This window comes from Homo sapiens, chromosome 2 (genome assembly GCF_000001405.40).
Source record: "Homo sapiens chromosome 2, GRCh38.p14 Primary Assembly".
Lineage (NCBI taxonomy): Eukaryota > Metazoa > Chordata > Mammalia > Primates > Hominidae > Homo > Homo sapiens.
In genome coordinates, this window is record NC_000002.12 from 88,818,441 (window position 1) to 88,833,890 (window position 15,450).

General features: G+C 45.2%; 1 long non-coding RNA gene and 1 further gene across 1 annotated transcript, besides 2 other annotated features; one reads left to right on the forward strand and one right to left on the reverse strand.

Annotated features, from left to right (window-relative positions):
- Window positions 15-309: an enhancer, noted in NCBI's record as "tiled region #6437; HepG2 Activating non-DNase unmatched - State 24:Quies". NCBI's record gives its function as "activates a minimal TATA promoter and a strong SV40 promoter by Sharpr-MPRA in HepG2 cells {active_cell/tissue: HepG2}" and the evidence as "EXISTENCE:reporter gene assay evidence [ECO:0000049][PMID:27701403]".
- LOC105374854 (uncharacterized) lies at window positions 6,931-11,406 on the forward strand. The gene is made up of 4 exons (XR_001739585.2): window positions 6,931-7,017; window positions 8,831-8,954; window positions 10,850-10,996; window positions 11,316-11,406. It is a non-coding gene; the product is annotated as an uncharacterized LOC105374854 (long non-coding RNA).
- Window positions 13,498-13,547: an enhancer, noted in NCBI's record as "active region_16176". NCBI's record gives its function as "activates an Ori minimal core promoter by ATAC-STARR-seq in GM12878 lymphoblastoid cells {active_cell/tissue: GM12878}" and the evidence as "EXISTENCE:reporter gene assay evidence [ECO:0000049][PMID:35858748]".
- Window positions 13,782-14,891, reverse strand: IGKDEL (immunoglobulin kappa deleting element or like).

Consider the following 15,450-nt stretch of genomic DNA (forward strand, 5'->3'; position numbering starts at 1 on the left):
AAGCATAAAAGAAGGAGCTTCATTAGCCAGTATAGAGCATGTTTCCCTTTGCAGGGCATCTCTTTTCTGTCTCTAGTTAAAAGCTCAGGTGAAGTTAGGAGGGAACCAAGGGGGAAATGGAGCAGGAAGCCTGGCCCCTCTGAGTCATGGTAAAGTCACATCCGATTGTTAGGAAATTCAAGGGGTTGAAAAGCATGGGCAAGGACTTCATGTCTAAAACACCAAAAGCATCAGCAACAAAAGCCAAAATTGAGAAATGGGATCTAATTAAACTAAAGAGCTTCTGCACAGCAAAAGAAACAACCATCAGAGTGAACAGGCAACCTACAGAATGGGAGAAAATTTTTGCAATCTACCCATCTGACAAAGGGCTAATATCCAGAATCTACAAAGAACTTAAACAAATTTACAAGAAAAAAATCAAACAACCCCATCAAAAAGTGGGTGAAGGATATGAACAGACACTTCTCAAAAGATGACATTTATGCAGCCAACAGACACATGAAAAAATGCTCATCATCACTGGCCATCAGAGAAATGCAAATCAAAACCATAATGAGATACCATCTCACACCAGTTAGAATGGTGATCATTAAAAAGTCAGGAAACAACAGGTGCTGGAGAGGATGTGGAGAAATAGGAACACTTTTACACTGTTGGTGGGACTGTAAACTAGTTCAACCATTGTGAAAGACAGTGTGGCGATTCCTCAAGGATTGAGAACTAGAAATACCATTTGACCCAGCCATCCCGTTACTGGGGATATACCCAAAGGATTATAAATCATGCTGCTATAAAGACACATGCACACGTATGTTTATTGTTGCACTATTCACAATAGCAAAGACTTGGAACCAACCCAAATGTCCAACAATGATAGACTGGATTAAGAAAATGTGGCACATATACACCGTGGAATACTATGCAGCCATAAAAAATGATGAGTTCACGTCCTTTGTAGGGACATGGATGAAACTGGAAACCATCATTCTGAGCAAACTATTGCAAGGACAGAAAACCAAACACTGCATGTTCTGACTCATAGATGGGAATTGAACAATGAGAACACTTGGACACAGTGTGGGGAACACCACACACCAGGGCCTGTTGTGGGGTAGGGGGAGGGGGGAGGGATAGCATTAGGAGATATACCTAATGTAAATGAGGAGTTAATGGGTGCAGCACACCAACATGGCACATGTATACACATGAAACAAACCTGCACTTTGTGCACATGTATCCTAGAACTTAAAGTATAATAAAAAAATAAAATAAAATAAATAAAAAATAAAAAAAGAAATTCAAGGGTTTAATGCAGAAATCGTGAACAGAGGGACTCTCGACCAACTCTGGCCTGTGAATATGTCTTGTTGGCTCAAGCAGTATTGGCATATACACTTTTAAACAATTCTGAATAAGTTGCCAACATTTAAAACAGGATATTTCACATGGAAAATCCATATTTGGGTCATTTCTTTAGAAATCCATGGGTCCTGGCCACAGTGTACCCATTTCTCAGGTCAGAGTAGGCTGGAATGAGTTGTGACTGTCTCTTTAAAAAGTACCTGGAGTCCTCAGTGGGCCATCTCCCCTCACCCCATTAACCTCACAGCGTGCTGTGGCACATTCCCTGTTGCTCACTGACACTGTGGAATTGTTTACTAATGAGATAGAGCTTATTTTTATATATTTGTTAGCCATTAATATTTCCTCCTCTGTAAAGTCTTTTTTTAATCAGTTAAATATTTTAAAATAGATTTTTCTTTTTCTTATTGATTCATAGGAATTCTTGCTAATAGTGCAAATTTCATGGGCTGTCATAAACATTGCAAATATATTCTGCTAGCACTCACATACTTTATGGCTTCCTTTGATTAATTAAGCCTGTAATTTTAATGCAGTTGAATATGTCAATCGTTTATTGACTATGTTTTTTATAAAGTTTAAGAAATTCTTCTCTATTTTGGGAGTCATGAAGATATTCTTGCATTCCAGATTTTCCTCCTGACATAATTTACTTTCTTCCTGAAGTGCACCCTTTAGTAGTCTCTTTAGTGAAGGTCAGTGGCTAGTAGTCAGTTTGATTTACTAGAAAATGTCCTTAAATTTCCCCTGACAATTATTTTCTCTCCACACTTCCAAGATATATTTCCACTGTGTTGTATATTTTTTCATATGATTCTGTTGTATTCTTGCTTCCATTGTTGCCGTTGAAAGGTCAGCTGTCAGTTGAACTCTTATTTTGTAGGAATCTGTCTTCCTTACTTGGCTATATTTAGTCTTCACTCTGTCTTTGGCATTCTGCAGTTTGTGAAACAGTGATACCATGTGTTGAGATGTGGATTTTTTTTTATTACTCCTGCTTGGTATTCATTCTATATTCAATATCTGAAAATTCCATTCACTTGACCTCAATAGCTTGATTCTGCAATTTGTCACTTCCATTAACTTCCATTCTTGTTCACTTGTTTCCTCTTATGTTTAGTGAATTTTGATTGGAAGCTCATGTCTGTGGGGGTAACTCAGTTCTGAATGATGTATTAGAAACTTTCTATACCAAACAACTTCACTCACTTTTTTTTTTTTCTTGAGAGAGTCTCTCTCTGTCACTCAGGCTGGAGTGCAGAGAGAGGTTCAATCATGGCTCACTGCAGACTCCAACTCCTGAGATCAAATGATCCTCCCACCTCAGCCTCCTAAGTAGTTAGGACTACAGGCACACACTACCACACCTGGCCAATTTTTGTTTTATTTTTTGTAGAGACCAGGTCTTGCTGTGTTGCCCAGGCTAGTGTTAAATTCCCAGCCTCAAGAAATGTTCCTGCCTTGGCCTCCCAAAGTGCTGAGATTACAGGCATTAGCCACTGCGCCCTGCCTTCACGCCCTTCTGTATAGCTCAGCCAAAAGATATACAACTTCAGTTCTGCTTTCCAAAATATATCCCTAGCTTTCTGGAACCAGCAGTTCTTATCTTACAACTGGCCAATACATAGACATAGATATGTCACCCTTTCCCTTCTGAGGCTTCCACTTGCTGTTGTCTGGCTGTTGTCTTTGAATTTATGGAGTATTCATGGTCTCTTAAGGAGAAAAAAGAAAAGGGAGATGAGAAGCCAGAAGAGAACAGGAAGTTGACCACAAGGCAGAGACTCCTCAGCAAGGAGCACAATCACAGCTTTACAGGGCCAGAAAACAACTCCAGCAGCGTGGCTGCCTCTTAAAGCGCCAGTTCTGGAAGCAAATTCCCCCTTAACAATCAATATCTAAGTGAATTTTGGAAGTCCTAGGCTGGTCTGAGACTGCCGGAGAATGAGTCAAGGCCGGCTTGTCCTAGGGAGGGGGTGGTGAGGGATGGAAGCCGCTGTCCTCTGGCTCCCCGTCAACTGTGCATGTCAATCCCAGTGACAAGGGCTGCTGATGCTTCAGAAAGGTACCAGGCCTCAGCTTTAAGGCGCTTGCCAAGAAGCCATGAGAAGTGCATTAAGATGCTGGCACATGAACAGCACCCAAACAATGCTGGTTATTAGTGGTTCACCAGGTGCTTTACAGTTTATAAAATACATTCACTCAGACTGCCTGGTTTAGTCCACACAACAATTCTAACTCCCTTGGAAAGACCAGAGAACTGCCATTTGATACCTTCCACTGCTTACTGCAAGCTCACCTGCGCCAGGCATGGGGACAGCAAGGGAACCTCAGCCCCATCTTGCCAGTCAGTGCCTGCAGAGGGGTCCCGGTGCCCCTCTTGCCATCAGAAGCTTCCCTGGCCAGACACAGCCATATGCATGTTACTTACATTTGCACATTTAATCTTTGCCACAGTCCATGAGATAGTCTGTACCAGAGGGAACTGGGGCCTGAGGTCACACAGGCAGTGCGTGGTGGGACTCAGGCATGGTGTAGGACACTTGTGGTTCTTGCCCCGAAACCAGATTTCAAGGCCAAGGGCAAGGCCAGATAGAGGCTCCTAGAATGTGCCAGAGGGTGGCCTGCTACAGCCTCAGCCAAGGTCTGCCTGGGGCATTAGGGGCCTTGATGGGGATATCACGCCTGCAGTCTCAGGGAGCCCATCAGCGGCCTCCTCTCTCTGGATTCCAGCTATGGCTTAGGGATCCCTGTCCTACCTTTCACAACAGGCCAGGGGCCTCTGAGTATTTGGGAATCTGCTCAAACATTGTGGGAACCTTCCTGCAATGGCTTCAGTGTTGCAGAATCAATGTTCTGCCAAAGAAAGTCACTCACTTCTTATTTCTACACCCCTCTACCTCCTAAACAGTAGGAGGGACCAGAGCCAAGGGCTGCAGGTGGCTTTACACCCAGTAGACTTAGTGATCTCATTTCTGTCTCCAGTAGTCTAGGTTGGATTTCTTATAGTTGTGAAAACTTTGAGTATTTGTTTTTACTTTTTCTTAAAGCTCGTATGGTGGCCTAAACTGCTTTCCCATTTTAATGCTTATTTTTGTATCTCATCAGAGCTGGAGATATTTTTCAATGGTTGAGGCTGGCCCTCAAAGTGGAGAAATATTTGATTACAGTGAGCCATTTACAGCAAGTAGATTTCAAGCACAACACTGGCAAAATCCTTTTCTATAAGAAACACTGTCTTATATAGATTTTCCAAAAGGCTGAACTGAAACTGGAAAGGATGTCTTAAGGAAAGATGGATATTAACAATAGGTTTTTAAAACCTATTCTTCTCTAGAACATGGAGAAGAGCTCCTTCATGTTTAGAAAGTTGGTTAAGAACTAGAATATAAGAACTGGGGTAACAACACCCAGATTCAGCTTCCAATCTGGAATCTGGAAGTCCAGGAAGAAAGGGCTGGTGCCAGGTTTGGAGAGGGAGGTTGAACCTGGATGTTACCACACCAGATAGAGAGAAAACTTCCAAAGGCTCCTCAGGTCCAGTCAAAAGGACTCGGCAGGCTCCTGTTGGCCAAAGATGGGACCGCTTGGGCTTCTTATAGCTACAATGGATTGGAATGCACCAACTAAGGTGAAATCCACGAGTTCAAAATGATACTTAAAACAAAAACTTCTTTGGTCACTTTTGGAGGATGCTTATTATTTTGAAACTGCTTTAAAAGAAAAAGAAGCCGGCAAAAAATGTGTTGTGGGGGCAAAGAGCTTCTGAAATACGCACATACCTGAGCACTACCCTCTGGGCAGCACTCCAAGTCCTGCTACTCCTAGAACCCTTTGGGGACTTCAAGAAAGCCCCAGGGTCTGGGTCCTGCCCCAGAGAGTCTGCTTGAACAGGTAAGGGAGGCTGCATTGTTGAGAGTTCCCCAGGCAGGGTGGCCAGGGCTGAGAAAGCCTGAGGCCAGCTCTCTGCTTCTACTCTCACCTCCAGTCCATGCACCATGCAGCGCCATTCCTCCTGGGTTTGAATCCCAGCTCTGCCTGGTGGGTAGGTCATTTAGCTTGTCTGTGCCTCTGTGTGCCTGTCTATCAAATAGAAGAGGTGGGGGTCTCACTGGCCCCTCTATCATCTGGCCCTTGTGAGGGTTTGATGAGTCTGTCTGGCACATGGTGAATGTTGGCTGTAGTAGCCATAACCATTTGGAATGGCACAGAGGGCAGGAAGAGACGTTCCATGAGAAAGATACAGGGGAGGGAATGTCTAAGAGAGGCCTCTCTAAAGGATGGGAAATTCACTTTTGGAAAGGAGAGATGGGAGATCAATCAGCTGGGTGGGCGAGATAACATTTAGAGGGCACAGACCCTTCTTATGAGTTGATGATGGCTTTGGTTACCAAGAAAAATGTACCTATACACACACACAACTTTTGCCTACAAATCTAAGGACTCACAGACCCCCCAATGTCCGTCTGCAACCCCAACAGTTGAAGTCCATTGCCACCTCCAGGTTAAATAACTGTCATCAACGACTCTATTATTTTGACAATATTGATCAAAACATTAAATGCCCATACTCTTCAACTAAATAATTTCACTTGATGGAATTTGTCCTACAAATGATGCATGTGAGGAAAATAACAACTATAAAAGTTGTTTATTGCAGCCTGTTGATTACAGAAAAGCTAGGAAATGATCTCTTCATCCACAGGGGACCAGTTAAATCAATTGTATCTACAGAGTGAAACACTCTGCAATCTTCAAAAAAAAAAAAAAAAAAAAAAGAGAAAATTCTATATCCCAAAATGGAACAAGAACAATCTCCAATAATTTGTAAAGGCACAGACCAGTGTACTCAGTGTGCTATGATTTGTGCAGAAAAATAAGAAAATGCATGTGTGAGTGTCTGTGTATATGTGCATTTGTTGAAGGTGAACAGAATATTTCCAGAATGAGACCCTATCAGCCAGTCAGTGCCTTGGTCTCGGGGAAGCAGAACCTCTTGTCTTGGAGACAGTTTTGAATGTAGGACCATATTCATGTTTACATTAATCCAAAACAAATAACAGGTACATTTAAAAAGAAAAGAAAGCCACGTGGGCATTGGAGGCTCACAGAGAATTCTGAATGGGAAGAGATAAGGAGGATGGCCTTTGGGGAGAGTGGATCTGCTCACCTGAACAGAGCATCTGGAAGCCCCTCATGGGTGGGAGAGGGGCTGCTGCAGGGGCCGGGATCACACGCTGAGGTTCTGAGACAGTTGCTGCCTGAGTAATGACGCCCTGGGAACCGTGAAGGATATGTCAAAAAGATGCATGGTCTCAGGTCTGTGTGGCCAGGGCTCCAGGCCATGGCTGGGAGGTGTGGGTTTGGGGTGGGGCAGACAAGTTGCTGAGAAGCAAAGAGGTGTGCCAGGGGTGGGTACCCGGTGGCAGGTTTTTCTGCATAGCTGGGCATTGCTTCAGCATGGCAGGTTTCATGTACTGCCAACCCCAAATTCCTTTTCTTACTGCTCGTCTTAATTTTCATGACAGCTTTGCCTCTCCTTCTCTTCCCTGGCGCTTAGGTGACCACAGGCTTCATAAAGCCTAAAAAACTTCAGACTGAGAGGAAAAGACCCCAGTCAAGATGGGTGCGGCTGTTGTCATCAGCACACAGGTGAGCCGGGGTCTCCTGGTCCCACCACGGGCCAGGCAGTAATGGGCTCTGTAAAGGACACACAAGGGCGTTGCCCACGGCGGGAACCTGGATGTCCCAAAGGCTCCCTCTGCCATTGTGATGTTTCAGGATGAAGGAAACGATTGTCCTTCTCATTCAGATGTGCAGAGTGCACGTTGTTTAAGTCCAGGCTCTCTTGTCTACTATATACCTCTCTCTCTTTTTAAAAATTGTGGTTAAACATATATAACAAAATCAACCATCTTAACCATTTTTCAGTATACAGTTGAGTGGCATTCGTGTTCATTCACACTGTTGTGCACCCGTCACCACCATCCATCTCCAGAGTGCTTTCCATCTTGCAGATCTGAAACTCTGCACCCATTAAACAACAACTCCCCACTCTTCCCTCCCCGCAGTCCCTGGCAACCACCATTCTACTTTCTGTCTACACTGGGTACCTGATATGAATGGAATCATGCCGTATTTGTCCTTTTGTGACTGCCTTTTCTCGCTTAGCATAATGTCCTCAAAGTTCATCTGTGTTGTAGCATGTGTCAGAATTTCCTTCTTTTTCAAGTGCTGAATAATATTCCATTGCATATGTGTGTCACAGTTGGTTTATCCACTCATCTGCTTATACACACTAGCGTTGCTTCCACCTTTTGGCTATTGTGAATAATGCTGCTATGAACACGGGTGTCCAATTAGCTCTTGGATGCACACTCCCGAAAAAGAAAAAACAGCTGGGTGCAGTGGCTCACACCTGTAATCCCAGAACTCTGGGAGGCCAAGGTGGGGATCACTTGAGCCCAAGGGTTCAAAAGCAGCCTGGGCAACATGGCAAAACCCTGTCTCTAAAAAAATACAAACATTACCCAGACATGGTGGCACATGCCTGTAGTCCCCACTACTCGGGAGGCTGAGATGGGAGGACCACTTGAGCCCGGGAGGCAGACAGCCTTGATTTTGCCACTGCACTTCAGCATGGGTGACAGAGAGAGACCCTGTCTCAAAAAAAAGGGAAAAAACAAGACAAGGTTTCTCCTGGGGCTGTGCTTCAGACCCCATTAGGCAGTTGCTCTGCAAAATGCCTCATGAGTCACAGCTCTGTCAAACAGATGTGCACATGTTCCTACCACTGTAGCATCCCTTGGGGGTTTGGTTCTGTTCACCCAAAATGAGTGGGAGTTTGGTTCTGAACACGCAGCACTAAGGGGACCTCAAAAAGGACACCTTATAGTACGAGAACTCAAAAAGGAAGGCAGAGTGTCACCTTGCTTGACCTCAGCTGGGAATGTGTGTTCATGTCTGGCAACTCAAGTTTTTCGCTGCTCTGAGCATGTCAATGGCTGTGAAAGTGCCAAGTGTATTAATTTGGGGGTTACAAATACATCTTAGCAAGTAGGTGAACTTGCAAATACAGAATCCAGGAGTTATGAGGGTCCACTGTATTTTCAGTGTCGAAATTATCTTCCATCAAGTTGATAAAACCTCATTTACTCAATTAGGCCCTAGTCAGGGTATGTGAAGTGTTCTAGCTTTTTCCTATTACAAATGATGCTGCAGTGAATACCTTGCTGCAAAGAGAGTTCTCTCATTATAAACTGTTTCTGTGGCGTGAGTTCCCCAACTGGGCTCTCACCAGTAAGGGGATGTCGCTGCCCATGCCATTAGGCTCACCACATTCCCTACTAGGGACACATATTTGGCTTTGTCCTGGTCAACGAGACAGAGGGAAAGTCTACCTGGTGCCTAAGAAGGGGGTACAGGGCACAATGGTCCCTTTCTTGCTCTGGCCATTACTGTGCAGTGGTGAACCTGGAGCTGTGAAATGGAGGAGGAGAAAGAGGAAAGGAGCCTGCATCCCAGATGACACGACCGAGCTGCTGACCCAGATCGCAGGACACGAGATAGTGCATTTCCCTTCTGTTAAGGTCAGTCCCAGCCAGCGACAGCCCCTCCACAGCACTGCTGAGGAGCCCCTGGTCACCCATACCCCTCACCCTCTCTTCAGACACTCCACTGCCCCCCACGACTCCCAGGCCAAACTCAGGACACCCACCCTCTGCCATTATGCCGGGCTCCCCAAGCCTCCACCACTTCCCCCAGTCCTGGGACTGGCAAACTATGAGTGAGACTCATTCACAGATTGTGACTTCATTTAGTGGATTATCAACCAGCATTAAGAACTGAAGCCAACTGGGCATAATGGCTCACACTTGTAATCCCAGCACTTTGGGAAGCTGAGGTAGGAGGATTGCTTGAGGCTAGGCATTTGAGGCCAGCCTAGGCAACAAAATGAGATCCTGTCCCTAGAAAACATTTCAAAAAATTAACAGCATGGTGACGCACACTTGTAGCCCTAGCTACTTGGGAGGCTGAGTGGGAGGATCCTTTGAGCCCAGGAGTTCGAGGCAGCAGTGAACTATACTTGTCAGCCTGGGTGACAGGGCAAGACTCTTTGTCTCTAAAAACAAAACAAAACAAAAAGAACTTAAGCAGACTAGGATATAAAGTATAGGAGCGTATTGTGTACAGGAACGGGAAATACTGTTTCCTGGATCTTTTGTTTCACTTACGCACACACCCACACCCGCCAGTAGTGTACCAGGTTGCGATGGAAATCTCTCTCTTTCTGTGGATGAGTTTGTGGAAGCCCTTGCTCCAGCATGCCCTCCTTCCTGCCCACCCCTGGACCATTCCTTCCCTTCACAGCACTGTCCCATGGGTAGGCCACAGCCCAGCACAGGCCCCAGCCTGGCGGCTGCAGCAGGAGCCCCATCCCAGGGCCTGAGGGGCCATGCGGGGGTCTGGGTGGGAGTGGGAACCGCTGAGGAAGGTGAAGGGAAATATGGTGAGATGACAGGCCCGCTGTCAGGGAGAGTGGGAGGAGCCCTGGAGTGCCCTACCTCTGTGGGGCTGGAACTCCCTGTATCCGAGCTAGGGTCTTCCACACGCATGCTACTACCCCAAGTGCCACAGCTGGAGGTCAGGGACCCAGCCAGGCTGTGCTGGGTGCTCCTGGGCAGGGCTCACCTGACTGCAAGTCTCCCTGTGGGTGGCTCAGAGACCCAGAGCCCACCTGGGTGCTGCTTACAGCCCATAAGGCAGCTCCCACCCGCGTGTCACTGGCCCTGCAGCCTCATGAAGCCTTGTGAGCAGCCATCCTTATCTCCTTTGTGCTTTGAATACAGGAGGATGCTGGCTCTAAAAGGCAGAGGGGCATCCTCAGTTACCCAGCAGGGGCATGGCAGGCCTGTCTCCAGTACCCCAAGAGGACCCTGAAAACAAGTAGCATTGCATGAAAGTTCCACACTCTGCAGTTCAACCTAGCACACTTACAAACCCTGAGTCACTGCATCCTGGCTCATGGAGGGAGAATTTCCTTTTTCTGTGGCTTTAAGGCTAGCAGGAAATTGCCAGCCCAGGCCCCTAAGGCCTCCAGTGAGGGCCGGGTCTCATCTCCCACTGGATAACAGTGTTGTCGGGAACTTCCATCCAGCACTGGCGGACACTCCCGTCGCAGCTGCTCCTGACTGAGCAAGTCATTTAAGGGGGTCCTTGGCACTCATAAGCACTCACAGAATGGGGCTGGCAGTGCGCCCGGCCTCCCTGGGATGGGTCCAGAATGGTAGGAAGCGCAGTCCGGGAGGGACCCTGAGTTAGGGCCAGGCATCCCCATTCCTGCTTCCTCCTCCCCGAGGACCACGTCTGCCCATTCCTCTTTTATTTTCTTTTGGTATATATATATATATATGTATATATAATTTTTCACACCATTATAATTCCTCTTTTTAAAAAAATATATATGTATGTATAACTTTCTTAGTAATTTCTGTAGTTACCGAATCTGGAAGGAAAACTAAGAGGCCACCAGGCAGGCCGTGTGATGGAAGGAGTGAGGGGAGAAGGAGCATCCATGCAGAGGGAACAGCATGTGCAAAGATGAGGGTCAGTGAGGACGTGGTTTGTACAGGTAAATTCGAGGAGCTTTGAGGGCTGACAGGTAATGCTGGCTCTGGGGAGGTGTTGGGAGAAGAGAAGGGAAGGGAGGAGCCGTGTAATGAAAAGCTGTGCTCACCATCACTAAGGACTCTGGACTTAACCTGACAGTGGGGGTTTTAGGCAGTGGAGTGGCATGATCAAAGCCATTGCTGGATGCAGGGAGGAGGCTGGGATGAATGAGGCAGAGTTTGGGCTGGGGCATCCGTTATGAGTCTATAGAAATGGTTCAGGGAGGGGTCTCAGCTTATTGTAAGGCTTTCTTTAAAGTTGATGGAATGTTTTCTTCCCAGTTTCAAGGCACAGCAACTGTCGGTTGTGAGAGATGCTTCTGCTACCACTTCTATTGCTCACGGCAAGGCAAAATGTCAGTCTAGATTCAAGGAGGTGGAGAAATAGATTCCACTTCCTGATGAGAGAAGAATGAATGCAGAGTTTGCAACTCGTCTGTTAAAGGGAATGACAAAGATGCAAGAAGAGTTAAACTAAAGTTCATTCAGCTGGCAGTATCCAATCCAGTGGTGGGTGGCAGCAGTGCCAGGAATAGCATTCAGGCAGCAGCATTAATAGTGACATTTTTTGTTTTTCAGAATGTTTTAGGGTAGAACCTTGGCCATATTTCCAGCTTACCAGTTTCCCTTGTTTTCACCTATTTTCTGAGCCTGATTTTTCAGACTTCCCATTCACTTTGGAGTTGCATGATATCCTTTTAATAAATGCCCTTTCTGCTTAATTTAGCCAGAGGCTGCTTCTGTTGTTTGCCTCTAAGGGTGCTGACTGATTCTTTGGTCAATAAGATAATCACCAAGGACTGTACAGTAAAATAAACAAGATAATTTACTAAAGAGGAAATGCAGGTGGGTAATAACTCCTGAGAAATGTCTCACCTCACTTACGATAAAAACAAAACACATCTGAATTAAAACAGTAACAACCAGATGCTTTTTTGTTTTTGCCTTTACAATTTGCAAATTCATCTAATCACAGCTGCAGAGGGTATGGTGAGACAAGCTTTCTTCTACTGCTAGTGGGAGAGTAAACTGACCTAACCTTTTTTCCTGTAGATTTCTTGGCTATATGTACTAAGATCTTAAAATGAGTTATCCTTTGTCACTTCCAGGAATTTAGTCTAAGCAAATACTTAGAAGTATGGAAAGAAATTTATGCACGAAGGTGTTCATATTTTAGTAAAAATTGGAAACTTGAATGAAATGAGGCAATTAAGATGTGATATAATAAGATAATAAGCAGAAGCAACCCTTTCTTAGAAAGGTTTGTAAAGAACTGAGGATTGGCCAGGCATGGTGGCTCGCACCTGTAATCCCAGCACTTTGGGAGGCCAAGGCAGGCAGATCACAAGGTCAGGAGTTCAAGACCAGCTTGACCAACATGGTGAAACCCTGTCTCTACTAAAAATACAAAAAGTAGCCAGGTGCGGTGGCAGGTGCCTGTAATCCCAGCTACCGGGAGGCTGAGGCAGGAGAATTACTTGAACCCGGGAGGTGGAGGTTGCAGTGAGCCGAGATCATGCCACTGCACTCCAGCCTGGGTGACAGAGCAAGACTCCATCTCAGAAGAAAAAAAAAAAAGAAAGAGCTGACAATTATAGGAAAACCTTAATGGAATAATATTGAGTGGTACATTGTTAAATAATAAATTAACCAAAAATTATACATGTGACATTTGTCGTTCATGATCCAGTGGGGAAAATAAACTACCCTGGACATTTTAAACAAAGGGAATTTATTGTGGGAAATGCTTCACAGGTGATGAACAGCAGAGACCCAATCATCATGGAAGCAGCCCAGAGATGAGTCACAGCAGGAAGCCACTCCACCATCAGGGCTGCAGAAAGTGGCATTGGGAGAGGGCAGAGGATGGGCACTTGGTGGCAGCTAGAATCATGGAGGAGATGCAGCTACTGATGCAAAACTGCTTCCTGAAGGAGAGAGATGGTCAAGTACCCTGCCTTATCCCTTCTTTTCACTACCCTGTCTCTTGCTGGTGTCTCCCACCGGCCATATCCAGCTGGAAGCCAATTGCCAATGGAACCATGGACAGGAAATGGATCTGAGTAGATGGACAATGACCACCACACAGCATGATCTCGACTAGATAAACATGATGCATGTTAAATGGTATTACTTCTGCTGACAGGGCGATATATGGCTTTTAGTTTCCTATGTTTTTCTGTATTTTCTAAAGAAACTGAACAATATTATTAAAATTAAATAAGTGGAAAGTGTGTTTGTGGCAGATACAATAACGTTTTTAAAAAGATAATGTGTACGTAGGGAAAGATGGGATGTTGTTAAACAACAGACTTTTATATGCTGTGTCTCCCCGTGCTCCCTCCAGCTTTAGTCAGTGGCCCTAAAAGGGCTAGTGTCCTGGCTGCATGGGGCCAGCAGGGGGCGATCCAGTCTAGCACAAGGCCTTCCTTGACCGGCGGACTGTGGCTGGGATTTCCTTGCATTTCAGAGCAGGACCCTAGGGCAGGTGTCATCCTGTCAGCTAGCTCCTGCCCCCAAGAGGTTTGTCTCTGTCAGCCTCTAACTCAGAGCTGACCCTTCCTCCCATTTCAGGCAGGCTCTTACCAGGACTCATGAGAAAGCCAAGCCAAGCACCACTGGCACTCGAGGGTCCTTCCTTGTCCCTTTGGGTGATTGGCACGGTTGTCCACTGAGCCCAGAGCCTCACTGTGCTCATTAGGTGTAGCCTAAGGGCACTTGCATGGAGGTGCCAGTGGTCACTGCTTAGAGCTCTCAGCCCTAGATGGCGTATCACAGTTAATGCTCTATAAAACCCATCATGGCTTTTCCCTAGTAAGCCTCAAATCGCTGCAAGCAAGGCTTCATATATGAGAGTTTCTGCTGTCTCCTGGAGCCATCTCACCCAAAGCCACTGACTCTGGGAGACCAGCCCAGGCCACAAACCAGCAAAGCACCAGTTATAGTTAGAGCTGCATTATAAAGTGGCCAGAGGACATTTCTTTGCAGTGAGATGTGTATCGTGAACGTTTGGGGCCTGTGCTCGCCTAGTCCTCATCTTTGCTTTTCTAGGTACACAAAGCCATCCCATGGCTGCAAATGTTAGCTGGGCTGGGCTCCCTACTTGCCTCAAGCCCCTTCATAGACCCTTCAGGCACATGCTTTTCTCTGGACGTTTACAGACAGGTCCTCAGAGGTCAGAGCAGGTTGTCCTAGGGAGCAGGGAGGCTTCCTAGGGAGGTCAGACTCCAAATAGTGGATATGGCAAAAATGCAGCTGCAGACTCATGAGGAGTCGCCCTGGGCTGCCACTAGGGCTCCCACAGTGTGCGCTGCCAACCTGCTGCCCGTGCAGAAACTCTAGGGTAAGAGCTGGCTCCTGGAGTCCCACCCAGGCTGCGTGTCCCTCACAGTCTGCTCTGTGTCTATGTGTGTGTGTTGGGGGGATATTATTGGACAATTCAAGGGAGGCTCAGTGAGGAGGAAGGAAAATTTCATGTAATTCTTTCTGGTTTGTCTTTCTCAACCCCCTCCTCCTGCCTACTCCTTAACTGAGAGAGTGTACTATTATTTGTGTGACCCTTTTTTTCCTCCAATACACATAGAAGGTTGTATAATTATGCTTTTCTGTTTTGGAAAATGACTTAAAATCATGTAAAGAAAAAGCTTACTTAGGTGAAATGTAGATAAAGAGATTGTGTCAGCAAAATATAATTCTTAAGGGTAACAAGGGCCATGGACGCAATTTTAATTGTGAAAAATAAGCAGGATTTCATCAAAGTAAACTACTGCAGGTGAGAAAAGTTGAACTGCTGTAAATAAGCATTATCCTGGGCTGATAATGCTTACAAATGTTGATCCTGAAAATTCTTCAGGTACCTTTCAGAGCTGAGAGTTGTGCTCTCTGGGGTGACACTCAAAGGAAATTGGGTCCTTTTTTAAGCATAATCTTCTTGGGTTTTTAGTACATTCTTATTTTTTATTGAAATATACAATGAAAATTCATCATAATACACTCTTACTCCTAAAAGAGATTGCTGTATCATAGGACATGTGTGCATATGAAATTTTATATTTATGTTGAAAAGTTTTGAGGAGAAAAGAAGAATCCTTTCTCTAAGTAACTTTATAGATTTTGTTTTTAATTGCACGCATACAACAAGTTCTCATTAATTATAAATTCAGTTCGTGGGCAAAATATATTTTCTGTGTGCCCCTTTCTATAGGAAACTTGCTGGATTATTTCTAATTCTGAGTCTGTATCTGAGTAATAATGACAATAAGTAAATGATCCCAAATATATTTATATAAGTAAGAGATTGCATTCTAGAACTTATTTTTTGAATAATTTTCTATAATTAAAATGACAAACACTTTTGCAATCTGAATTTCATAGTAAGGATAATTCTAAACAAATTTTGAAAGTTTTGGTTTTAGAA